Genomic DNA, 26,388 nt, shown 5'->3' with positions numbered 1-26,388 from the left:
CACAGCAAAATAAACTATCAACAGAGTAAACAGACAACCTAAAGAATGGGAGAAAATATTTGCAAACTATGCATCTGACAAAGGTCTAATAGCCAGAATCTAAAAGGAACTTAAACAAATCAACAAACAAAAAACAACCTCATTAAACAGTGGGCAAAAGACATGAACAGGCACTTTTCAAAAGAAGATTAGATATACATGTGGCCAACAAGCATATGAAAAAAATGCTCAACATCACTAATCATTAGAGAAATGCAAGTCAAAACCACAATAAGATGCCATCTCACACAAGTCAGAATGGCTGTTATTAAAGAGCCAAAAAATAACAAATGCTGGCAAGGTTACAGAGAAAAGGGAATGCTTGCACACTGCTGGTGGGAATGTAAATTAGTTCAGTCACTGTGGAAATCAGTTTGGAGATATCTCTAAGAACTTAAAACAGAACTACCACTTTATTTACCGTGTCTACTGCAAGAATGAAGACCATCCGCAGCAATCAGACTGTTGATATTCCGGAAAATGTCATTACTCTGAAGGGATGCAAAGTTATTGTGAAGGGCCCCAGAGGAACTCTGTGGAGGGACTTCAATCACATCAGTATAGAACTCAGTCTTCTTGTAAAGAAAAAAAAGAGGCTCCGGCTTAACAACACTTGTGGTGAGGTAACAGAAAGGAACCGGCTATGGTTCAGACTATTTGTAGTCATGTACAGAACATGATCAAGGGTGTTACACTGGGCTTCCATTACAAGATGAGATCTGTGTATGCTCACTTCCCCATCAACATCGTTACCCGGGAGAATGGGTCTTTTGTTGAAATCCGAAATTTCTTGGGTGAAAAATACATCCGCAGGGTTAGGATGAGACCAGGTGTTGCTTGTTCAGTATGTCAAACCCAGAAACATGAATTAATCCTTGAAGGAAATGACATTGAGCTTGTTTCAAATTCAGCGGCTTTGATTCAGCAAGCAACAACAGTTAAAAACAAGCATATCAGGAAATTTTTGGATGGTATCTATGTCTCTGAAAAAGAAACTGCTCAGCATATCAGGAAATTTTTGGATGGTATCTATGTCTCTGAAAAAGAAACTGCTCAGCATGCTGATGAATAAGATCTAAGAGTTGCCCAGCTCAGCTACAGAAACAAGATGCCGGATGACTCCTAAGACCTACTTGTGATATTTAAACGATGCAATAAAAGACTTACTGATTTGGAAAAAAAACAGCAACAGAACTACCATTTGACCCATTTTGACATATGCATGTGTGTCTTTATGGTAGAACAACTTATAGTCCTTTGGAATATAAGGAATCCTCTGGGTGTGTTACTGAGTATATACCCAAAAGAATATAAGTCATTGTACCATAAAGACACACATGCATATGTTCGTCACAGCACTACTCACAATAGCAAAGACATGGAATCAACTTAGGTGTCCATCAATGGTGAACTGGATAAAGAAAATGTGGTACATATACACCATGAAATACTACATAGCCTTAAAAAAAGAATGAGGATCATGTTTTTTGCAGCAACATAGATGCAACTAAAGACCAATATCCTGAGAGAATTAATGCAGGAATAGAAAATCAAACACCACATGTTCTCATGTAGGAGTTAAACATTGAGTACACATGGACATAAAGAAGGGAACAGTACACACTGGGGCCTACCTGACGGTGGAAGTTGGAAAGAGAATGAGGATCTAAAACTATCAGTCAGGTACTATTCTCACTACCTGGGTAATGAAATAATTTGTACACCAAACCCCAGCATCACACAATTTACCCATGTAATAAGCCTGCACATGAATCCCCTGAACCTAAAAGTTGGAAGGAAAAACCAAATGGTTTCTTGCAGACACCAAAAAGAAGACAGCTCATGGCTTTTTACAAGAGCCAGAGAGTTCTGATTGGTGTCAATGGTTGTTAGATAGGACTTGTGGTCTTGGAGTTCAGGTTAGGCCCTTGCAGTTTGGGGTTGGGCTTATGAGACAGTGTGTCAGGCAGGAGTTTTTGTATCTGCTGCTCTCTGTCCTTGTGTGACTCACGTAGTAAGCTGTGGTTTGGAATAACTTTGTGATAGCTCCTGTTATCAGTTAAATTATGGGTGAGAGTCCTCCCTTCATGGCCTTCCCCAGCTCTGTTGTAAAGGATAAGTAGTATTTGTAAAGGATAAGTTGTATTTTTTTTTTCAGACAGATAAGTAATATTTTGAGAGAGATGGAAGCAGAAGCTCATTATCCTGCAGTAGATATAGACATGGGACAGGGTCATGGGATTTGGGGTTGAGTACGGACCTTATAAACCATGCTGCCCACTCGCCCTCTCCCAAACTTTCAGACTAGCCTCCTTTAAAAGTAAATAAGATCAAGGAAGTGCCAAATTCCAGTTCCTCCACTGGCTCCCTTAGCATGACACCAGTTCCTTCCTTTGGCCCCCATGGCCCTGCACAACCTGGTTTCTGGCCCTTTCTCCAAACTCACCTCAGCCCATCTCCCCTCATCCACTTCACTGCACCCACAATTTAGGCCAGGATTTGACACAAGTTATTCTATTTTGAATCTTACAACTTTTGGATGGCTAGCATGAGAAGGAGGATACCTGAAGGGGATGGAGATTTGGGGGCATTAGCACCACTTGCAGGATTTTCCTCCATGAAGCCCAAAATCCACTCCCAGGGAAGATCACTGAGAATGCTGAGACAGCTCCCTCCCCATCCTGCTTAGAGAAGGGAACAGCAGCCTTAATCTTCAGAGAAAGAGCAATGCACCCTGCCGTGGGGAAACCCACTGCAGCTAGGGGAAGGCGATATTAAAGGAAATCTGCATACCTGGGGAAGGCAGAAAAACGCACGCAAGATCCCTCATCAGAGCTAGAGCAGGTACAGGGCACTTAGGAAAGCATCAGTTGCACTGAGCCTGCCTGAGTCCAGGCCTACTCAGAACATTTGAGGCACCCTTCTCCCTTCCCCCAACACCATGCTAACAGACATCAGGCACACATGGCAGTGGTGCCTAGCCAGGAGAACTGCAACAACAGATTATTCACAGGGAGCAACACAAAGAGTAGACCCAAAACCACCCCGCCAGACTCCTAAGCCAGGCAGAATACAGGCAGTGGGGAAAACCCTCTGGAAAAGTAGTTCACACCCTAAACACAAGGTATAACCAGAGGAATCGGAACTCTCTGGCTCTGAGGGTAACTAGAGCACAACAAACTTCAAATTCAGCCAAACTGGTGACAGCATTAACACAACCGTCCATGCTGAAGGTCTAGCAGAAGGAAAGGCATGCTCATGTTCAGTGTAAAAAAATTACTTCCGTACACACCACCCTCCATAAGATGTTCAACTTCCAACAAAGCAACAATAACAAAAACAGGAGGCATGTGAAACACAAGAAGAGCTCAGAGCTCAGTCTAGGAGACAAGGCAGGCATCCGAACCAGAATCCGACATGGCGCCAAGGTTGGAACTGTCAGACAGGAGATGGGAAATGACTGTGATTAATACCTGAGAGGTTCTAATGTGAAAGGTTCAACATGCGGTAGCAGATGGGTAATTTCTGAAGAGAAGCAGAAATCCTACAATCAAATAGAAACAGAAAAGACAAAAAATACAGTAACATAGATGAAGAATGTCTCAACATGCTCTTCAGTGGATATGACACAGCTGAGGAAAGAATCAGTGAATCTGAAGATACAGCAATAGAAATTAGCTAAATGGAAATGTGATGAGAAACATAAAACGAATTTTAAAAACAGTACATCAAGTTGCTTCCAAGATGGCCGAATAAAAACAGCTCTAGTCTACAGCTACTAGCGAGATTGACGCAGAAGATGGGTGATTTCTGCATTTCCACCTGAGGTACCTGGTTCATCTCATTGGGACTGGTTGGACAGTGGGTGCAGCCCATGGAGGGCCAGCCAAAGCAGGGCGGGGTGTTGCCTCACCTGGGAAGCACAAGGGGTTGGGGGATTTCCCTTTCCTAGCCAGAAGAAGCCATGAGTGGCTGTACCTGGAGAAGCAGTACACTCCTGCCCAAACACTGCACTTTCCCCACAGTCTTCACAACCAGCAGACCAGGAGATTCCCTCCTGTGCCTGGCTTGGTGGGTCCCATGCCCACGGAGCCTTCCTCGCTGCTAGTGTAGCAGTCTGATATCTACCTGGGATGCTGGAGCATGGAGGGAGGGGCGTCGGCAATTACTGAGGCTTGAGGAGGCAGTTCTATGCTCACAGTGTAAACAAAGCAGCCGGGAAGCTCTTAACTAGGTAGAGCCCACTGCAGCTCAGCAAGGCCTACTGCCTCTCTAGATTACACCTCTGAGGGCAGGGCATATCTGAACAAAAGGCAGCAGACAGCTTCTCCAGACTTACACATCCCCGCCTGACAGCTCTGAAGAGAGTAGTGGTTCCCCCAGCATAGCATTCAAGCTCCAATAATGGACAGACTGCCTCTTCAACTGGGTCCCTGACTCCTGTGTAGCCTGACTGGGAGACTCCTCCCAGTAGGGGCCAACAGACACTTCATACAGGCGGGTGCCCCTCTGGGACAAAGCTTCCAGAGGAAGGAACAGGCAGCAATCTTTGCTGTTCTGCAGCCTCCACTGGTGATAATAAGCCAAATAGGGTCTGGAGTGAAACCCCAGCAAGTGCCAGCAGACCTGGAGCAGAGGGGCCTGACTGTTAGAAGGAAAACTAACTAGTATCAACAGCAACAAAAAGGATGTCCACTCAGAGACCTCATCCAAAGGTCACCACCATCAAAGACCAAAGGTAGATAAATCCGTGAAGATGGGGAGAAACCAGCGCAAAACGGCTGAAAATTCCAAAAACCATAACGCCTCTTCTCCTCCAAAGGATCACAGCTCCTTGCCAGCAAGGGACAAAACTTGATGGAGAATGAGTTTGACAAGTTGACAGAAGTAGGCTTCAGAAGGTCGGTAAAAACAAACTTCTCTGAGCTAAAGGGGCATATTCTAACCCATTACAAGGAAGCTAAAAACATTGAAAAAAAGGTTAGATGAATGGCTAACTAGAATAAGCAGTGTAGAGAAGAGCTTAAATGACCTGATGGAGCTGAAAACCACAGCGCGAGAACTTTGTGAAGGATACACAAGCTTCAATAGCCGATTCAATCAAGCAGAAGAAAGGATATCAGTAATTGAAGATCAAATTAATGAAATAAAGCTAGAAGACAAGATTAGAGAAAAAAGAGTGAAAAGAAACTAACAAAGCCTCCAAGAAATAAGGAACTATGTGAAAAGACCAAATCAACATTTGATTGGTGTGCCTGAAAGTGACAGGGAGAATGAAAACAAGTTGGAAAACTATCTTTAGGATATTATCCAGGAGAACTTACCCAACCTAGAAGGCAGGCCAACATTCAAATTAAGGAAATACAGAGAACATCACAAAGATACTCCTCAAGAAGAGCAACCCCAAGACACATAATCATCAGATTAACCAAGGTTGAAATGAAGGAAAAAATGTGAAGGGCAGCCAGAGAGAAAGGTTGGGTTACCCATAAAGAGAAACCCATCAGACTCACAGCTGATCTCTCAGCAGAAACTCTACAAGCCAGAAGAGAGTGGGGGCCAAAATTCCACATTCTTAAAGGAAAGAATTTTCAATGCAGAATTTCATATCCAGCCAAACTAAGCTTCATAAGTGAAGGAGAAATAAAATCCTTTACAGACGAGCAAATGCTGAGAGATTTTGTCACTACCAGGCCTGCCTTACAAGAGCTCCTGAAGGAAGCACTAAACATGGAAAGAACAACTGATACCAGCCACTGCAAAAACATGCTAAATTGTAGAGACCATCCCAGCTATGAAGAAACTGAATCAATTAACAAGCAAAATAGCCAGCTAGCATGATAATGACAGGATCAGATTCACACAGAACAATATTAACCTTAAATGTAAATGGACTAAATGCCCCAATTAAAAGACACAGACTGGCAAATTGAATAAACAGTCAAGACCCAGCAGTGTGCTGTATTCAGGAGACCCTTCTCACATGTAAAGACACACATAGGCTCAAAATAAAGGGATGGAGGAAGATCTACCAAGCAAATAGAAAGCAAAAAAAAAAAGCAGGGTTGCAATTCTGGTCTCTGATAAAACAGACTTTAAACCAACACAGACCAAAAGAGACAAAGAAGGCCATTACATAATGGTAAAGGGACCAATGCAACAAGAAGAGCTAACTATCCTAAATATATATGCATCCAATACAGGCGCACCCAGACTCATAAAGCAAGTTCTTAGAGACCTAAAAAGAGACTCAGACTCCCACACAAGAATAATGGGAGACTTTAACACCCCACTGTCAATATTAGACAGATCAATGAGACAGAAACTTAGCAAGGATATCCAAGACTTGAACTCAGCTCTGAACCAAGCAGACCTAATAGACATCTACAGAACTCTATACCCCAAATCAACAGAATATACATTCTTCTCAGCACCATATCACACTTATTCTAAAATTGACCACATAATTGGAAGTAAAGCACTCCTCAGCAAATTTAAAAGAACAGAAATCACAACAAACTGTCTCTCATACCACAGAGCAATCAAATTACAACTCAGGATTAAGAAACTCAATCAAAACCGCACAACTACATGGAAACTGAACAACCTGCTACTGAATGACTACTGGGTAAATAACAAAATGAAGGAAGAAATAAAGTTGTTCTTTGAAACCAATGAGAACAAAGACACAACATACCAGAATCTCTGGGACACATTTAAAGCAGTGTGTAGAGGGAAATTTATAGCACTAAATGCCTACAAGAGAAAGCAGGAAAGATCTAAAATTGGCACCCTAACATCACAATTAAAGAACGAGAGAAATGAGCAAACAAATTCAAAAGCTAGCAGAAGACAAGAAATAACTAAGATCAGAGCAGAAGTAAAGGAGATAGAGACACAAAACAACCCTTCAAAAAATCAATGAATCCAGGAGCTGGTTTTTTGAAAGGATCAACAAAATAGATAGACCACTAGAAAGACTAATAAAGAAGAAAAGAGAGAAGAATCAAATAGACAAAATAAAAAATGATAAAGGGGTATCACCACTGATCCCACAGAAATACAAACTACCATCAGAGAATACTATAAACACCTCTGTGCAAATAAACTAGAAAATCTAGAAGAAATGGATGAATTCCTGGACACATACACCCTCCCAAGACTAAACCAGGAAGAAGTTGAATCTCTGAATAGACCAATAACAGGCTCTGAAATTGAGGCAATAATTAATAGCCTACCAACCAAAAAAAGTCCAGGACCAGACGGATTCACAGCCAAATTCTACCAGACATACAAAGAGGAGCTGGTACCATTCTTTCTGAAACTATTCCAATCAATAGAAAAAGAAAGAATCCTCCCTAACTCATTTTATGAGGCCAGCATCATCCTGATACAAAAACCTGGCAGAGACACAACAGAAAAAGACAATTTTAGGCCAATGTCCCTGATGAACATTGATGCGAAAATCCTCAATTAAATACTGGCAAACTGAATCCAGCAGCACATCAAAAACTTATCCATCATGATCAAGTCGGCTTCATCCCTGGGATGCAAGGGTGGTTCAAACACACGAATCAATAAATGTAATCCATCACATAAACAGATCCAATGACAAAAACCACATGATTATCTCAATAGATGCAGAAAAGGCCTTCAACAAAATTCAACAGGCTTTCATGATAAAAACTCACAATAAACTAGGTATTGATGGAATGTATCTCAAAATAATAAGAGCCATTTATGACAAACCCACAGCCAATATCATACTGAATGGGCAAAAACTGGAAGCATTCCCTTTGAAAAACTGGCACAAGACAGGGATGCCCTCTCTCACCACTCCTATTCCACATAGTGTTGGAAGTTCTGGCCAGGGCAATCAGGCAAGAGAAAGCAATAAAGCATATTCAAATAGGAAGAGAGGAAGTCAAATTGTCTCTGTTTGCAGATGACATGATTGTATATTTAGAAAATGCCATTGTCTCAGCCCCAAATCTCCTTAAGCTGATAAGCAACTTCAGCAAAGTCTCAGGATACAAAATTAACGTGCAAAAATCACAAGCATTCCTATACACAAATAACAGACAAACAGAGTGCCAAATCATGAGTGAACTCCCATTCACAATTGCTACAAGGAGAATAAAATACCTAGGAATACAACTTAAAAAAGATGTGAAGGACCTCTTCAAGGAGAACTACAAACCACTGCTCAAAGAAATAAGAGAGGACACAAACAAATGGAAAAACATTTCATGCTCGTGGACAGGCAGATGCAATATTGTGAAAATGGCCTTACTGCCCAAAGTGATTTATAGATTCAATGCTATCCCCATCAAGCTACCAATGACTTTCTTCACAGAGTTGGAAAAACTACTTTAAACTTCATTTGGAATCAAAAAAGAGCCCTCATAGCCAAGACAATCCTGGGCAAGAAGAACAAAGCTGGAGGCATCATGCTACCTGACTTCAATCTATACTACAAGGCTACAGTAACAAAAACAGCATGGTACTGGTACCAAAACAGATACATAGACCAATGGAACAGAATGGAGGCCTCAGAAATAACACCACACATCTACCACCATTTGACCTTTGACAAACCTGATGCACACAAGCAATGGGGAAAAGATTCCCTATTTAATAAATGGTGTTGGGAAAACTGGCTAGCCATATGCAGAAAACTGAAACTGGACCCCTTCTTTACACCTTATACAAAAATTAACTCAAGATGGATCAAAGACTTAGACATAAGACCTAAAATCATAAAAATCCTAGAAGAAAACCTGGGCAATACCATTCTGGATGTAGGCATGGGCAAAGGCTTCATGTCTAAAACACAAAAAGCAATGGCAACAAAAGCCAAAATTGACAAATGGGATCTAATTCAAGTAAAGAACATCTGCACAGCAAAGGAAACTATCATCGGAGTGAATAGGCAACCTACAGAATGGCAGAAAATTTTTGCAATCTATCCATCTGACAAAGGGCTAATATCCAGAATCTGCAAAGAACTTAAACAAATTTACAAGAAAAAAGCAAACAACCCCAACAAAAAAATGAGCAAAGGATATGAACAGACACTTCTCAAAAGAAGACATTTATGTAACCAACATACATATGAAAAAATGCTCAACATCACTGATCATTAGAGAAATGCAAATCAAAACCACAATGAGATACCATCTCATGCCAGTTAGAATGGCAATCATTAAAAAGTGAGGAAACAACAGATGCTGGAGAGGTTGTGGAAAAACAGGAACGCTTTTACACTGTTGGTGGGAGTATAAATTAGTTCAACCATTGTGGAAGACAGTGTGGGGATTCCTCAAGGATCTAGAACCAGGAATACCATTTGACCCAGCGTTCCCATTACTGGGCATATACTCAAAAGATTATAAATCATTCTCTGATAAAGACACATGAACATGTATGTTTTTTTTTTTTTTTTTTGAGACGGAGTCTCGCTCTGTCGCCCAGGCTGGAGTGCAGTGGCGGGATCTCGGCTCACTGCAAGCTCCGCCTCCCGGGTTCACGCCATTCTCCTGCCTCAGCCTCCCAAGTAGCTGGGACTACAGGCGCCCGCCACTACGCCCGGCTAATTTTTTTGTATTTTTAGTAGAGACGGGGTTTCACCGTTTTAGCCGGGATGGTCTCGATCTCTTGACCTCGTGATCCGCCCGCCTCGGCCTCCCAAAGTGCTGGGATTACAGGCGTGAGCCACCGCGCCCAGCCCATGTATGTTTATTGTGGCACTATTCACAATAGCAAAGACTTGGAACCTACCCAAATGTCCATCAATGATAGACTGGATTAAGAAAATGTGGCACATATACACCATGGAATACTATGCATCCATAAAAAAGGATGAGTTTACCTGCTTTGCAGGGACATGGATGAAGTTGGAAACCATCATTCTCAGCAAACTATCACAAGATCAGAAAACCAAACACTGCATGTTCTCACTCATAAGTGGGAGTTGAACAATGAGAACACATGGACACAGGGAGGGGAACATCACACACTGGAGCCTGTTAGGGGGTGGGAGGATATGGGAGGGATAATATTAGGAGAAATACCTAATGTAAGTGACGGGTTGATGGGTGCAGCAAACCACCATGGCACATGTATACCTATGTAACAAAACTGCACATTCTGCACCTGTAACCCAGAACTTATAGTATAATAACAATAAAAAAAAGTACATCCAAGAGCTGTGGATAATATCAAATATTCTAAGACACATGTAGTTAAAATCCTAGGAAAAGAGAAAAACAGTGGAATAGAAGAAATAGTTGCAGAAATAGCATCTAAGAATTTTCCGAAATTAATGACAGACACCAGACCACAAATCCAAGAAACTCACAAGACACAAGTAGGATAAACATGGAAACAACATAAAAGAAACAAACAAAATACACTTCAACATATATTCAAATCTCTGAAAACTAAAAGCAAAGAGAAAAATCTTGAAGGCAGAGAAAAATGACACATTGCCTAAGGAGAAACAAGGGTAAGAATTACAACAGACTTCTTGTCCGAAACAATAACAATGGAGTGATATATTTAAAGTGTTGAAAGAAAAAAACCATTGGCCCAGAATTCTATAGCCAGTGAAAATATCCTCCAAAAATTAAAAAAAAAAAAGACATTCACAGGCAAATGAAAACAGACATAATTCATCCCAGCTGACTCCCTCCACAAAAAATCTTTAAAGGGACTTATTCAGGAAGAGGGAATATGGCATTGGTTAGAAAACTGTATCTACACAAAGAAATGAAGAGTGTTGGAAATGGAAAAAGTGAAGGTAAAATTCTCTTTTTTTCTTATTTTAAATTGCTCTAAAAGATAGCCAAAAATTTAAAACAGTAATGGTAACAATAGATTGTATATTCATAACTTATGTAAAAGTAAAATAAGTGACAACAGTGGCACAAAAGATAGGAGCAACAATTGGGAAGAAAGCTGTTCGCACTAGATGTGAAGTGATTTAACAGTACCTGAAGGTAAACTCAGATTATTTCAAAATGTATATTTCAAACCCTAGGGCAATCTCTAAATATATATATATATATATATATATATATATATATTACACACACACATATATACACACACATATATACACACACACACATATGTGTGTCTGTGTGTGTGTGTAACAAGTAAATAGAACAGATGAAATAGACTAGGCAAAGATTTATTTCAACTTAATCTAAGCAGGCAAGGTAGGGATGAGCACTGCAAGGAATGGGAAGAACCACTGGGTTAAATTCCAGTGTATTGTGTGGAATCAGTGTCCACAACTACCTAATTTGTCCATAGCTTGTGCAAAAATCAGCTCTTCCTTTTGTTACTAGAAAAGTCCACCCATAGAATGAATTCTCCGAATAATTTCCTTGATCTTTCAGTTCTATCACTAATCCTCCAAGTCAATAGTGGTCAAGCAGTTTCATCAAAAACACTAGGCAAATTTGGTAAAAGTTTGTTGACCAAAGCAAAACCTAAATGATGTGGGATATTTATTAATGACAAACTACCATATGCCTTATATTGTATATTACACTGATGGCTTTTATCTTTTTAATCCATCTTCTACTTCTAAACAATAAAAAATTACCAAGCAGAGAAACAGACATGTACAAAATTATCTTCTTACTGATGCAACATTCACTTCTTTAAACTGATTAATTCATTGATCACTCATGACAATGAAGAAAAAGAGGGAGGGAGAAAATAAAGTGATTTCTCCATCAGGGTTGTCAGAATTATTGAAATAGAAACTCAAAGTACTCTTATCAAATTTGGAATAGCAATTTCCTTTAGAAAAAAATGGGTATTTATTCATCAGGAGACTTTATCAACAGGAGAAATCATGAACATATGGCCAAGGCATTGACTCCCTTATAATGAGAATTTGGAATTCTGGTTGCCATGTAAGCCATGTCCAAATTTAAATAACTTCACCAAAAGAAGGAAATTTCTCAAGAGAAACCAAACTGAAAGCACTAAAATACAACCATGCAACTGTAAATTTTCGCATGGAAACCACTTCTCCAGATGGCTGGGGCTCTTGAGTACAGTGTCATTGCTCCAGAGGCTAATTTACTGTCTATATGAACTTGAAAATGGTTCTTCTTCAGTGAAAGTTAAAGTTTCCATCCTCAACATTGGCCATTAATTATGTTTTCCAAGGAATTTCTGGTCTTTTTTAATAAAAAATCAATATCAGAAGAAGTACACACTAAATGTTTTAAATGCTTGCTTTAAAGAAATAATGTTTTATTTTTATTAAATAAAGCTTTTTTTAATCTAAAAATGTATGAAGAGATACAATGAAAATGAAAGCTAACCAAAGGGCCACAGTGTCCAAACTGGGTACTTCTAACAAAGGAGGTATTCCATGTGGCTGCACAAGTGCCTATGGCCCAGCTGCTGGCAATGGTGATGGGAATTCAGAGGCTGATCATAATTGTCTTATCTTTGCTGCAGAGTAGAGGCTTCCACTCCCTCATTCAGCCCTGCACACTGTTGAGAAAAGCCCCCACAAACATGCCCTGAGCACTCCCTGCCTGCCACACACTGGGCTAGGTGCTAGAGCCCCGACCTTGAAAATGAAACTACTCTTGTTTCAAAGAGATACCATCCCGGAGAAGAGGACAGATTGATTTAGAGGTGACAAAGGATGGCATTTCAAGTAAATGTCAACAAGCCTCCTGCCCAGTTACTTCTCAAATGAACCAAAATAACTCAATATAGACAAAAGGAAAAATAATCACCTACATGGAACTAGGAAAGTCTTACCTCATTCCAAGTTCTCTGAAGACTAACCCTCAGATACACCCCAGTTGAAATTGAGCTCAGAGACACAAGGTCAGCACAGTCAGCCACCCCAGTGGGGCTGTGTTGCGGGGCTGACAGAAAGGCACTCTGAATGTCCAGTATCCCCCAGCATGGAGTAGGGAGGCCCAGAAGCTCGACCTGATTTGGGCCAGGAGAGTAAATCCCCTATTGTAGTTTCTTCCACGGGCGTGGACAGCAAGACTGAAGCAGAAACTTTTTATCCAACAGGGGATGGGCTGAGGTCAGGAGACATCTAACTTCATTGTAATAGGCAACAGGTGACTCTATTGGGAAAAATACACTGAAGTCAAATCACAGAAAGTTCAGAGCCACGGGCAATTTTCTAATCTGACTTCTCACCAAGGTGCCAAATGTTATACAACATCGTATCTAATTTCACCATGTGAAGCTTAAAATCAACATTTTGGTGTAAAAACGACATTCTTGCTTCTTAATTACTGGTGATGTTTTTTAGGAGGCAGAACACAGACTCTAGTTCAAAAGACAGAAACATTAAAAACCAAGGAAGCTTTCAAGTAGAAACACCAAAGCTAGGTCTTACAGTGTATATCTTATGCAATAAATATGAGTGTATAAGCCTAACCCAAAGGAGAAGGGACATCAGTCAGGACCAAAACAAAATAACCTAATTCCAGGTTACTTGTATTCTACAAAATATGAAATTAAAATAAAGGAACTTAGAAAGACTGAAAGCAGAATGAAGAGCAAAAATATTCCAATTCAATGTAAACAAATAGAAAGCTGAGTATCAATATTATACACAGTTACATTCATGACCAAAAAATATTGAAATTGTGTTCAATATAAAAAATATTGTATTTGACATAAATGTTCAACATAAAATATAAAATATTTTATAATATTTATTGCTTGATTGATTTAAAGATATAGCTGTCAAGAACCTTTATTTACTATATAGCATCATAGCATTAATAAATGTAGCAAAAACTGGAACAAATAAAAGGATAAATTTGACAAAGCACAAAATCATTGGAAGACTTCAGTGTAGCTCTCTCACTCAATCCTGTATGTCAAGAAATTAAGGAAGAGTGAAACAGAGAATCCAAATAATTCCATTAATAGATTGATCATATATATAACACACACATATATTCATATAAACATGTATGACATTTTATATATGTCCCCATGCCTTGTGTACAGAAAATGTGTATCCTTTTCTATTGTTCACAAAGAAAACCTCAAACTCAAAAGAAAAAGAAAAATAACAAAAACCACCTTCTTTAACATCAATAAAGGAAAACTAAAAATGCAAAACAAAATTTACTAATTGCAATAATAACACAGAACAATTCTGAACTTTTAAAAGCTCTTCCCTAAACAATACTTCAGTGAGAGAAAAACTGAAAGTCCCTCATGGAATTTCCTTAAAATCAATATTCCTTTTCATAATCTTTGGAATACTATTAAAGCTGTGTTCATAGAAAAATATATAGCCATTAATATTTTCAGTAAAAATATGAACCAATAAAAACAAATGAACTAGGTATTTTACATAATAATTCTTTTGATTAAGGTCACTAAAAAGAATATTAAAAATAGAATCACAGTGACAACAGAAAAGCCTCATACAATTGACCATGACATGAAAGGTATGTCTTTGGTGGCGGAGGAGAATGGAATAGAATGAAACAAAATGGAGTGCAACAAAATATTAATTCGCCCAGTCAAGGAAAACAAAAACAAGTAAAAGAAAAAGAAAGCAAGGAGAGAGAAAGGGGGAGGGAAGGAGGCAGGGGGCAAAGAAACAGAGTATGAGAAAGTACAAATAACCAGAGTACGAAAAAGAAGAAAACAGAATTACTTAAACATATCAATGACTCTGAAAACCTGAATGAAAAGCCGTTTTCTAGGAACATGCAAATGATCGAAATGGACTCAAGAAGAGATAGGAATGCCTAAATGGCAAATCAAACAGTTGTAAAAGAACTACAGCCCTCAAAAGCACTGGCTTCAGTGTTTTCAGGATGGGGTTTTTCAAATGCTGAATTCTGTTTAAACTGACCAAGAGCAAGAATGTTGGGGGAGGGGAGAGTCTGTAGATTCTTCTTTGGAAAGCTAATAGAATTCTGACATCAAAACCAAAAAAAGTTGCACAGAAAAAGGAAACTCCAGATAGCTCTCACAAACGCTGAGCATTGATCCTAAGTTAAATATTATCATAAATAAGAATAAAGAAATAAGAAGTGTGAAATGCACCTGTGTCAGTCAGCTTTGTGAATATCTTGCTTGGTCACTGGACCAAGCTACATTTCTGAAGCTGAGTGTGGGACTTCTCTGAAGGGAATGGATGGTCCTACTCAATATTGCGAAGCAGGAAGGAGCATTCAGGATGGGGCAGAGAGTTTGGGGGCTTGAACACCAAAACGTGGACAAACTTGGAACTTTTGTAGAGCTTGGATTTGGGAGGGAGATAGCAGATGGCTGGGGCAGAGACCACAGGGCAGGTCTGGGCCTTAGAGGTTGCAGACTCTTTAGTGAATTATTCTGCACCTCTATCATCTGGAACTCTCATAGAAGTGGAGGCAGAGAGAGCTGATGCCTGCTCCCAGGGGTGTAATGCAGAATGAGGACTGTGTTCACACTCGGGGACAGGAGTTCAGGGACAGTGCAGGTGGCCACCAGGGGTTCTGGGGGAGAATGGCGCAGGATCACTGGCTCACCAGGAGCCTGGTTGAGCATACAAGGACTTGAGATTGAACCTGGATGGCTGGGAGGCACTTTGGGAAAAAAAAAGGATAAAAAATGAAAACATAAAAACAGTATCAAAGAGAACTGTGCCGTGTTCTACTCTTTACCAAGACACTTTCCAACTTTCAGGCTGTTTTTTTATCAAGGTTCCAACAGTGACCACCCCCAGGGGCATGCCTCAGGCAGGCTGGGGGTTAGGGAGCCCACCCTTCCCCACTGGGCTCCCACACCGCATTGTCACTGGTCACTAAACAAGCCACTTGCCAGACCCCAGCCACTTACCTGAACCAAGCCTGTCCTTTTGCTAGGCTTTCTAACCTGAAGTGCTTTATTGGGGCCTGTGGGTCCAGCCCAGCTAGGGAACACCCCAGTGCCCTGCAGAAAGTGGTTTGTGTGAATGATGCAGAAAACCAAGAAGGTTACAAGGCAGAGCGTGATTGATTCCCTGGGGCTTTATTGTAATAACTTTAATCTTCTGGAACTCATCTGGTATGAATTTAGGAGCTGGGCGGCATTTCACTGAAATTCCCCATTAATGCAGCTCTCACTGCTCTGCCGGCCTTGGTGGTTGTGGAGTTTGCCACATGTATGATTTTGCCCTGGGCTCCTTATTAATGAGCCTTGAAAAGAGGGTGTGGAATACGTGAGCCCTTCAGCTGTGCTTTCCTTGAGGAGAAAACAAACAGAAATACCCACCTTGAAGTGCGTCTGGGCTCTGCCTTCCTGGAAAGAAAGCCAATCAACTTGGGCTTCCCAGGCCTCATTGCGGGTGGAGAAGCGTCTGACACTTGCATTGTCTCCGGCTCTTGGTGTTTACAGGTCAGGAGAGGGAGAGGATTGCTGAGGTCTTTGTAACAAACTCAGGTCCTTCTGCCACTGCGCCCACCAGGATTGATTTTTTAAAAGGGTGTGGGGTTTGGGGACCAGCTTCCCCTATTTTCACAGCTCTCCTGGCCAAATCTAACCAGGATGTCCTGGGTCACATCCCATTCCAGCCCCTACTTACTGTGCACAGCTCCCCTAACGCTCTCCTCACTTTCATCCCTCGGTCCATTGAATGAGCACTTCCAGGTGTGGCCTCTAAGGGTCCTCTGTGCTTTGCATCCCTGGACGTTGGGGCACCAACATGGAGCAAGCAGAGGCCCTGGGGGCACGAGGCCTCGCTCACCCTCTGAGCTTCAAGTTCAGAGCCTTGTTTGCAAAACTGCCTGCCTGCAGATGAAAAATTAGCTGCATTCAGGGAGTGGAATGAGGAGCCATCGGTTCACCTTATTGTCTCATGCTAGAGGGGCTTTTAAAATAAATGTAAAGCAAGCGGGGCTTGCCCTTGTCATCTTCATAATCCTGTGTACTGACCAGCCGAGACGGTAAGCATCCTGACACCTCAGTGTGCCAAGTGCATGCCACTTCACAGTTTACAAGGCACCTTCACATACACTTAATCTTTGCATCAAAAGGCTCCACTCAGCCTTATTTGCAAGTGAGGATGCTGGCTCGCAGGCCAGGTCCAGTGCCGTTAATTGACTTTCCCCAGCACTTTCCCCAGAACACAGCAGGAGGAGCTGCCACCTGACAAAGGCAGGCAGTGTGGCTCTCACAGGCTCTGACCAGACAGCCCAGATTCATCCCGGCCACTCACTGGGTGAGCTGGGTGAGTTACTTACATTGCTTAAGCCAATTTCTTTCTTAATTTAACAAATGGTGATAAAATCGCCTGTTTCGTAGTATCCTTGTGTCAATTACCATAGATAACATATACCCGTTTCCCAGGAGGGTGCAGACCATAATAGATGCTCTGGAAACCTAAGTTCAATGCCAGCTTCTTTCCCATGTGGTGTTCACATGCTGAAAGTATTGCGCCAACCTTTAAAGACAGGGTTGAGAAAGGGAATGGTCAACCATGGGCTTCGTAGCACATCTGCCTGCAAGCCTGTGGTGCTCGGACTAGGTGGCTGATGTTGCCTGTGCTGTCTGTGTCTGGAGCTGCCTGCTGTGGGCTCAGGACCGAGGGGCTCCTGTGGACCTGGAGTTCTGGAACTTACAAGGTAGCCATATGAACCCCTGACACCACTCTTTACCCACACTGGGCTTGCCAGGCTGATGACTCAGAAGAAGGGCATGATTGCCTATGCCCAGATGTCCCAAGTATCCTACTAGGTTTTGAAAAAAGCCGGTAATAAGGACAAGGGACCAGTGCTTGTCTGGAGCCCCGTGGCAGCCCCTGGCTAGCTGTGAGAGCCTAGGTCAGACTTCAAACTTTGCTGACCCCTAACAACAGCCCTCCCCCATTCCCTGCCCCAGGCCTCATCTGCATTCATTCTAGCAGCTGGATGGGAGAGGGGGAGTGGGGGAAGCTAAGTTGCAGGGACCCTCCACCAGGACCAGGCAGCAGTGGCCACATGACCCAGCTCTACTGAAGCCCTGGCTGAGCCCAGTGCACAATCCCTCCTCAGAGGCTGGGGCCAGGCTGCAGGGCTCTCCTCCTCCATTTCAAGTATATAAGAATAGACAGAGAGGTGGGAGAGAGGGAGATTTAGTCTTGTCTCCCTTCCCCTCCCCTCCCCTCCCCTCTCCTCCTCTCCCTTCCCCTCCCCTCTCCTGTCCTCCCCTCTTTCCCTTCCCTTCCTGTACCATCCCATCCCCGCCCATTCCTCCACCTTGGCCTAAGTTAATTCTGTTGGATTTTAGTCACCTGTGACTGTAAAACCGTTTGACTGATACAAAAGCCCTCGCAAAAGGTTTGTAGACACTCTGTTCCAACAAGCCGGTGGAATTTTTATATTCCTGCTATTTCCATCATAAAAAGCTCTTTAAAATACATTTCATCTTAAACCTGGCCCATGAAACTCCACCGAATTCCCAGAGACTTCACAGAGGTCCCATCACCCTCCCATCCAAGCTGGCTGCCCACACACAGGGGCCTCCTGTGTGCAGGGACTCCTCAAAGTCCACGTCCTATGCCCTCCCTGGCCGGGCTCCTCTTCTAACACAAAACCCTCCTGAGCAGGGGTTTGGCAGAGCAAGGGGTAGACTGTGGATGCTGTGATTCCCCACCACAGACCACCAGGTCTGAAGGACGAGCTTCCCCCCAGTGCTGGGAGAGCTCCTGGCTGACGGCCACCAGCCTTCTCCATGGAGCCTGAAGATGGCCCCTCAGGCACCTCCTACACACAAAACTGCTCTCCTGGCTGCCCCCAGCACGAGCCCCATGGCCTTACCCTCATTCTTTGTTTCCTAAACCCTCTTGCTCCACCCACCACATCTCTACTTCTTAATCTTTGCCTCCTTCAACATTTAGCTCAGATCCCCTCCTTCGTGAAACCTTTCAAATTGCCCCAGGGGCAACCCACTCAGCTCTGCCGCCCTCTCCCTGGCTCTTGTCCTGGGACTCTTGCAAATTCTAGTTGTAGCCCAAGACTCCAGTCCCAGCTGAGAAGCAGTCAGTCATGCTGAGAGGCCTCCTCCTTCCTGCCCTGAGATGGCTTGTGCAGCATGACAGGGAAAGCTGGGATTTGTAGCTGACCGTGAGTTCAGATCCCGTCTTTTCCACTCACTGGTAACAAACTCCCTGAGCCTCGCTTTCCTTGTCTCCAACAACATATAGGCACTGGGATGCCAATCAGGTCACTCGGGAGAAGCAAACTCAGGAAAAGTGAGTATGGGGAGGGGCAGGGAAGCTGTTGAGTGTTCCAGGACAGGAGTGGCCCGACGTTTCAGGTTCTTTCCCCAAACTGATCCCGGGAAGCAGGGGCTTACTGGACAGGAGTGCAGAGCTGAACGGTGGCTGCCAGCTGGCCTGGCTCACCACTGAGCCTCTCTCCCCAGGCTGACCTGCTGGAGGTAGAAATGTGGCCTCTGAAGGCCCCCAAATCCACAACCAAAAAGGCCAAATGAGTTCTGCCTAGAGGCCTGGGTGTGGGGTGGAGATGCCCAGTGCACCTCTCCCCTCCGTGGTTAGGATCTGAGCTAAACTTGGCATCTGCCAAGCAGCTCCCTCAGTCCTGCCGAGGACACTGGGAGCCAGGCCAGGCTAGGCAGCAAAGGCTCTTCCCAGGGGCACCCAGTGGCACCCCACTTCTCTTGGCATGGACAGTGTCCCTCTGAGCCCAAAGTGGGGAGTGGGCCACTGTAAGGCCTGACTGCTGGCTCTCCATCCAGTTTCTTCCTTTTTTTTACATACAAACTAAACACATCCACCATCTGGCAACCTAGGGAGATGGAGGTCAAATTTTGCACACGTGAAGCATTTCCGCCTGAATAAACAAGTTCCTTTTTGTTTTTTTTGTCCTCTGTCATTCCTGGAATCAGTCCAGCTGTTCACCACCTAGGTACCTCCTGGCCCCAGATGTCCTCTGGGGCAGGCACCAGCACACACCTGCGCTATGGGGACAGGGGGAAGGGAAGAGGAGGGCCTCATTTCTATGGCCTGGGAGGGAGGGAGAAACAGGTGGCAAGCACATCCTGGCCTGGCCCTGCCCTCAGCTGCTCCTGCTGGGCTCCTGGAGGCAAAGGCTTGTCCAACAATGAGGATGGACACAGACACATATGTGCACCCTCTGCCTCCTACCACAGGGCTGCTCCTGGAAAACGTATTCCCTCTCTGGACCTCTGCGCAGTCCTCTCCTCTTCCTTCCCTAAGCCCCCCTCTGCCTCCCCCAACTCCCTTCCCTTCTTCAACACTCACTGAGGGCTGGCCCCTGGGTAAAGAGACCAACTTATCTTTGCTTTCATCTTCCATGGTTCCTGGGCCTGCAGACAGACTGGTTCCCACAGAAACCATGATTGCCCAGATTCCAGGGGGTGGTGATTACAGAAAACAAACTCCCATTTAAGGACCTGTTCAGGGGGCCGAGCTGAAAGCAGCAATGGCATGGGGACTTCAAACCTGTTTCCCTTGACACTCAGGAGTGCCCCAGGCCTGGCTGTGTGCAGACACCTGCCTGAAACCCCCCTTGTGTTAAGACTAAGGTGGCTTCAGAAACCCAGGGAGCCTGTAGGAGGGAGGCAGTGACTGTTGGGAGGAGATTGTCTTGTGTCTTGCTAAGGTCGCATCTAAAAGGGATCCTGCAGAAGCACCCAACAAGCTACTCTTTGCAAAACCTGACCATACTCCCAGCCCTCTCAGCTCTGCACCCACCTTTAGAGACCACAGAAGCCAGGGTGTGAACCCCCCCAGGTGCTCTGGTGCCCCACCACCACCTGAGTAACCTCCTTCAGGTCTGTAGTCCCAGAGTCCTCACTGGCGAAATGGGGATGGGAACCCGGTAGTTCCATGGGAAAGAAAAATGCACAGGACACTTCCTTCATAAACCAACTAGAGCTCTCCATGAGAAGAAGCAAAGATGAAAAAATTTTAAATGCTGCAATTCCCTGCACTTCTGCAGGACAGAAAAATGTCATCCTCAGAGCTTCTGGTGCCTCCACAAAAAAAAAGCAGACCCTCACCCCCACCTCCAGGTTCTCTAACCACCCAAAGGCTCTTTGAATTATTCCATTCTAAGAACTGGTGTCTGCACATGACCTTACCCATGAGCATTTCGGGTCTTCAAGGGCAAGGCTGAAGGAGCCCCTCTTCAGGAGGACTGAGAGCCATGCCTAGTGCCCCCCAGGAAGGTGCTGGCTGGCATGTAAAAGTGGGAGCAGGTGCTGTGGCACACCTGGGTGACCAGCCCATTGCATGCTGCAGCCTCCAGCCAGCCTGGGCCTCTGAGGCTGTGCAGACCCCATGACTGGCTGTGGGCACACACCAAAGGGATCCAAGCCTTATTCTGGTCTTTGTGGTCAGCTGTTCTGTAAGTTTATTAAACTCCTCCAAGCTCTCAGGCAGAGCCTAGCTGTGATGCAACAGATCCCTACACCATACCAGTGAATGAACCCTGAAGTAGGCCAGAAGGTCAGGGGAGAGTCTGCACTTCTGCACCCAAAGCAACCAAAAACCAAACACTTCTGCAGCCAGACCAGGGAGCATGAGGGGAACATGCAGGGCCATAGCATGAGCCCTGGTCAGAGCCTCAGCTGCACTGCTGGTTCCTGTGGTGTTGGGAAGTTACCTCCCTCTCTGATCTGAAAATGGGATAAGCACGCTTGCTCTTCAATGCCGCTGCTAAGTTCATATGAGCTGCTGTTGTGGCCTGCCTATGCGATCTTTTGGGTCTATCTAACATCTGGGTACGCTGAGGTTGTTATAGGGGCTGGCACAACTGTGGCCATCTCTAAAGGCAGCTTCATGTTTGGTCCCTGGGGAAGGAATGCCTGTCTTTGCAAGTTTAAGCTTTGATTTTAAATTTCTATTCAGACTTCAAGATCTCTTCTGGGTCTAATTAGCTCTACCAAGGTGCATGAAGCAGCCACACTATTAAAACTCTGCTCTCTCCACGTGGTGGTATACCAAAAAAGGATGAGCCTCCCAGAGCTCTAGGGTAAAATACAGCTGACAAATGCACCAACCAGAGGCGCTGTTGGCCAGGGCACAAAGCTGATAATGGCCTGGGTGTGCAGGGGCCTCACCCCTGCAGCCAGGACAGTACAATGTGCTTTTCTTGGCATACTCTGGGAAGGGGTGCCTCACTCCTCCTGAGTTATAAGCACTCAGGGTTTGCACTTCCTGCTCGAAACCTCAGCTCCAGTCAACTGGTAGACAGAATTATACCCATGCTGACCTGATGAAGAAGCCGCAGAAGTAAATATTGCCTTGGGTCAGGGCCCCTCCTGGAATTCCAGAACTCTGTTGAAAGCTGCCGAGGCAGGGGTAATAGATCACCACCACCCGCCTCCGTTTACAACCGGGTAATGTCTTTTATGACTGCCTCTCTCTATTCTGAATATTTATTTTATTGCCCCTGTAGGCAGATTTTTCCATTTGGTAAAAATCATCAGATGGTTTCAGTCATGTTAACAACTGCTCATTAAATGCAGAGAAGTAAACAGAGAAATAAAGGTTTGTTTTTTCCCTATTTTTTTTCTTTCTTTGTAATTTATGGAGGATACTCATGGGATGGGCACTGTGGGATGAAGTGTGCTCAGATGCTGCTCTCCTCATCTCCTGCCTGGGTGGGCTTTCCCTAGGAAACCCTCCCTGCCCATAAGAGAAGGCCATTCCTTCAGCAGAGAAAGGTGAAGGTTTTGATCTATTTCAAGGCTAAAATTTGCTGAGTGATCTCCAGGTTTTGAGCTTTTGGTACTTGCTTCTTTTTTCCTGTGGTCCAGGAAGCAGGAGGCATGTCTTTCTGTTCCTTATGGAAAATATCGCTCAGGACTAAAGCAGTTGGAGAGGACTGGTGTGGAGGGGGTGAAGGGGAAAGCCAGATGGATGGGTGGATAGATAATTGGCTGGACAGATGGATGGAGCTATGACTGGCTGGCTGGATGGATGGATGGTGTAGGATGGATGGAGTGATGGATGAGTGGATGGATGAGCAGATGGATAATTGGCTGGATAGATGGAGGGGTGCACGGATGAATGGAGGCATGGATGAAAGAATGGATGGATGGATGGGTAGATGGTGTTGGATGGATATATAGATGGATAACTGGGTGTTTCGGTGGGTGAATGATGAATGGATTAATGTATGGGTAGGTGGGTGGATGAATGGATGAATGGATGGACGGATGGGTACATGTGTTGGATGGACGTATGGATGGATGACTGGGTGTTTCAGTGGGTGAATAGATGAATGGATTAATATATGGGTAGGTGAGTAGATGAATGGATGGATACCTCAGAGGTATCCCCACCTGAGTCCATCTCCCACTTACATCCCCTAGGCCAGGCTGCTGGTGAAGCCCGCATTTGCACTCAGCCTTGAAAGCCTCTCTCAGTAGCCTCTGTGTACAGCCCAGTTCAGATCATCCATGCAGTAAGACTACAGACACCCCGCCACAGGGATGTAGGGTGGAGAAAGAAGTAAAAACTCCTCTTCCAAACAAGGAGGGCCAGTGGAGCTGGAATCCTGGCTTTTCTAATTGGAAGGGACCATCTGTGCAGGCAGCAGACCCAGCTCCTCCTTTACAACCCACAGCAGCTCTTGAGCTCTTTCCTCTCCTGCAGAATCCCACCAGCCCAGGATATTGCTCACGTGGCCCTCTTCCCTGAGATATTTCTCCCCTCCTTCTCCACCCACAGCTCACCCACCTGAAATAGATGGAAAGAGTGTCAGTAGCTGGGCATCATACACATCTGCCGGGACCAGAGGAAGAGCAGGGCTGGTGATATTGGGGATAAGAGACCTGCCTACCCTTGCTTCAGGCATGGCCAGGACTATTTCTGGAAGGGTAGGGTTGGGGCAGGTGCTGTGTTACACTGCTCAACCCAGAAAGAAGAACAAGAAAAGATCATTCCTATATTGCTTTCATGCACCACTTTCTAGCATCTCTGTGTTAATAAAACTCAAGAAATCCTCTCAATGAAAAAAAAAAGTGACTCCATAACTTCCCTTCCCAACCTCAACCACATGTTCTGAAGGTTCAGGCAGAAGACCACAAGGCGGGGGGCTGTGGCAATGTGACAAGCATAGACTCTGCAAATGAAAATACAGGATGCTCCGTTAAACCTGAATTTCAAACAAACACTGATAATTCTTTTTAATAAGTATGCCCCATGCCCCATGCAATGTTTGGGACACACTGATACTTAAAAACAAAAAGAAACAAACAAACAAAAAACAAATACACAAAATCCCTTGCTTTTTTGTGAAATTCAAACATAACTGGGCATGCTGTGTTTTATGTGGCAAACCAGCTCTTTCTCCTTCACCAGGAACAGCCCTACTTCAGAGTGGATTTAAACTCCATCCCTGACAAATAATAGTTTTGTGATCTCTGTCCCTTATTTCAGGGAATGGCCTTGCCATTGAACCCACCTCATCAGCTAGATGCAAGGAGAAAGGTGACAGAAGGCACGCAGCACAGGGTGACTCCAGTGTCAATGCTGTTCACACTCTCAGTGTGCACACTCTGGGGTTTCTGATAGGTAGGAACTGATGTATACTCCAGTATGAGAACCTTCAGTGGATCCCCAGCTGCTGAGTCCAGTCTGCCCAGAGGCAAGGGGAATAGGAGAGAGGGGTGGGGCTAGGAAAGGGAGGCAGAAGGAATCCAGGCCTGACTGTGGTGACTGAGCACAGGAAGGGTTCACTACTTGGTTCCTGGGAACTGGTGTGGGGACTGGGAGCACAGATCTGAACCCCTGGGGCCTTGGGTCTGATTTGCCCTATGAGCCCTGGTAGTCCGACAGTCCCGGGGAATGTCCCAGGAAATACCAACTGTGCTATTGTGAAATATATATTTGGTCTTTGTCCCAGCTTCCTGGCATGCAGCTCCTAAAATCTTTGGTTTACTTGACTGATGGCTGGCAACCCTTGGGTAGCTTCAGGATGGAGGCTAGTCATCAGAAAGACCAAGCAGGATTAGAAGGCGGGAACTTATAGCCCCACCCCATCAGCCTCTGAGGAAGGAAACAGGGCTGAAGGCTAAGTTACCAATGACCAGTAATGTAATCAATCATGCCTATGTAATGAGCTTCTATACAAACACAACAAAGCAGGGTTCAGAGGGCTTCACGACAGTGGAGGTTCCTGGAGGATGGTGCCTGGAGAGGGCATGGAGGCTTCATGTCCCCTTCCCCCATACCTCGCCCTATGCATCTCTTCCCCTGTAGCCTTCATAATATCCTTTTTTTTTTTTTTTTGAGACAGAGTTTTGCTCTTGTCACCTAGACTGAAGTGCAGTGGTGTGATCTTGGCTCACTGCAACCTCCGCCTCCCGGGTTCAAGAGATTCTCCTGCCTCAGCCTCCCAAGTAGCTAGGATTACAGGTGCCCGCCACCAAGCCCAGTTGATTTTTGTATATTTAGTAGAGATGGGGTTTCACCATGTTGGCCAGGCTGGTCTTGAACTCCTGACCTCAGGTGATCCACCCACATCAGCCTCCCAAAGTGCTGGGATTACAGCCGTGAGCCACCACGCCCAGCCCATAATACCCTTTTTAATAAACCAGTAAACATAAGTGCTTCCCTGAGTTCCATGAGCTGTGGTAGCAAATTAATGAAACCCAAGGATGGGGTCATAGAAACCCTAATTTATGGTCATTTGGTCAGAAGCACTGGGAAAACAACCCAGGGCTTGCAACTGGTATCTGAAGTAGGGGCAGCCTTGTGGGACTGGGGCCTCAACATGTGGGGCCTGAGCCTACCTCCAGGTAGATCATCTCAGAGTTGAATTGAATTAGAAGACAGCCAGCTGGTGTCTGCAGCTGAAGGACTACTGGCTTTGTATGTGGGGAATCCCCGCCCCCCCCCCCACACACACACACACATCTGAAGTCACAAAAGTATTTTGTGTTGTGAGAGTAAGGAGAAACTGAGTTTGTTATTCTTACATTCTCAGATCCCCCTGCCTCAGCACTGTCCAGCAAGGAAGTCTTTGGGCAGAGCCTGCTCAGACAGAAGTCCTGGCCTGCTAGACGTGCACATACCCTGACGGTAAGCCTTGCTTGCCCACACATGTGCCCAGAACCAGTGGGGATCAGCTCTGCCTCCCAGGGGTCCTTCCCTCTAGGGCAGCCTGGGGCTGTTTGCAACTGGCTCTTGAGGCCAGTGGGGATCTAGACAGGAAAAACATGGCCAGCTGGTCAAATGCCAAGTCCTGGCCCTGGGTACGGGATTCCAAAAGGCTCCCTGGATGACTGCCATGGGAGTGACTTATGTCCCCAAGAGTGCTTTCAGGACCTGGCTGATGTTCCAGGATCCAGAGACGTTGGCCCCAGAGAGATGTACCCTTGCTC

At 44.6% G+C, this 26,388-nt stretch overlaps 1 long non-coding RNA gene and 1 pseudogene across 1 annotated transcript, besides 5 other annotated features; one reads left to right on the top strand and one right to left on the bottom strand.

Annotated features, from left to right (window-relative positions):
• On the top strand, positions 451-1,215 carry RPL9P21 (ribosomal protein L9 pseudogene 21; annotated as a pseudogene).
• On the bottom strand, positions 13,782-25,864 carry LOC107984179 (uncharacterized). The gene is made up of 3 exons (XR_001747298.2): positions 25,798-25,864; positions 17,353-17,473; positions 13,782-16,821 (listed from the first exon to the last, which is right to left on the bottom strand). It is a non-coding gene; the product is annotated as an uncharacterized LOC107984179 (long non-coding RNA).
• Positions 14,586-15,329: an enhancer, noted in NCBI's record as "OCT4-NANOG-H3K27ac-H3K4me1 hESC enhancer chr10:44895749-44896492 (GRCh37/hg19 assembly coordinates)". NCBI's record gives its function as "activates a minimal SCP1, AML or CMV promoter by ChIP-STARR-seq in naive and primed H9 embryonic stem cells {active_cell/tissue: H9 hESC(naive and primed)}" and the evidence as "EXISTENCE:reporter gene assay evidence [ECO:0000049][PMID:30033119]".
• Positions 15,330-16,074: an enhancer, noted in NCBI's record as "H3K27ac-H3K4me1 hESC enhancer chr10:44895004-44895748 (GRCh37/hg19 assembly coordinates)". NCBI's record gives its function as "activates a minimal SCP1, AML or CMV promoter by ChIP-STARR-seq in primed H9 embryonic stem cells {active_cell/tissue: H9 hESC(primed)}" and the evidence as "EXISTENCE:reporter gene assay evidence [ECO:0000049][PMID:30033119]".
• Positions 16,075-16,819: an enhancer, noted in NCBI's record as "H3K4me1 hESC enhancer chr10:44894259-44895003 (GRCh37/hg19 assembly coordinates)". NCBI's record gives its function as "activates a minimal SCP1, AML or CMV promoter by ChIP-STARR-seq in naive H9 embryonic stem cells {active_cell/tissue: H9 hESC(naive)}" and the evidence as "EXISTENCE:reporter gene assay evidence [ECO:0000049][PMID:30033119]".
• Positions 19,054-19,798: an enhancer, noted in NCBI's record as "H3K4me1 hESC enhancer chr10:44891280-44892024 (GRCh37/hg19 assembly coordinates)". NCBI's record gives its function as "activates a minimal SCP1, AML or CMV promoter by ChIP-STARR-seq in primed H9 embryonic stem cells {active_cell/tissue: H9 hESC(primed)}" and the evidence as "EXISTENCE:reporter gene assay evidence [ECO:0000049][PMID:30033119]".
• Positions 19,799-20,544: an enhancer, noted in NCBI's record as "H3K4me1 hESC enhancer chr10:44890534-44891279 (GRCh37/hg19 assembly coordinates)". NCBI's record gives its function as "activates a minimal SCP1, AML or CMV promoter by ChIP-STARR-seq in primed H9 embryonic stem cells {active_cell/tissue: H9 hESC(primed)}" and the evidence as "EXISTENCE:reporter gene assay evidence [ECO:0000049][PMID:30033119]".

Source organism: Homo sapiens, chromosome 10 (genome assembly GCF_000001405.40).
Source record: "Homo sapiens chromosome 10, GRCh38.p14 Primary Assembly".
Classification (NCBI taxonomy): domain Eukaryota; kingdom Metazoa; phylum Chordata; class Mammalia; order Primates; family Hominidae; genus Homo; species Homo sapiens.
This window is presented reverse-complemented; position numbering and strand designations above follow the sequence as displayed.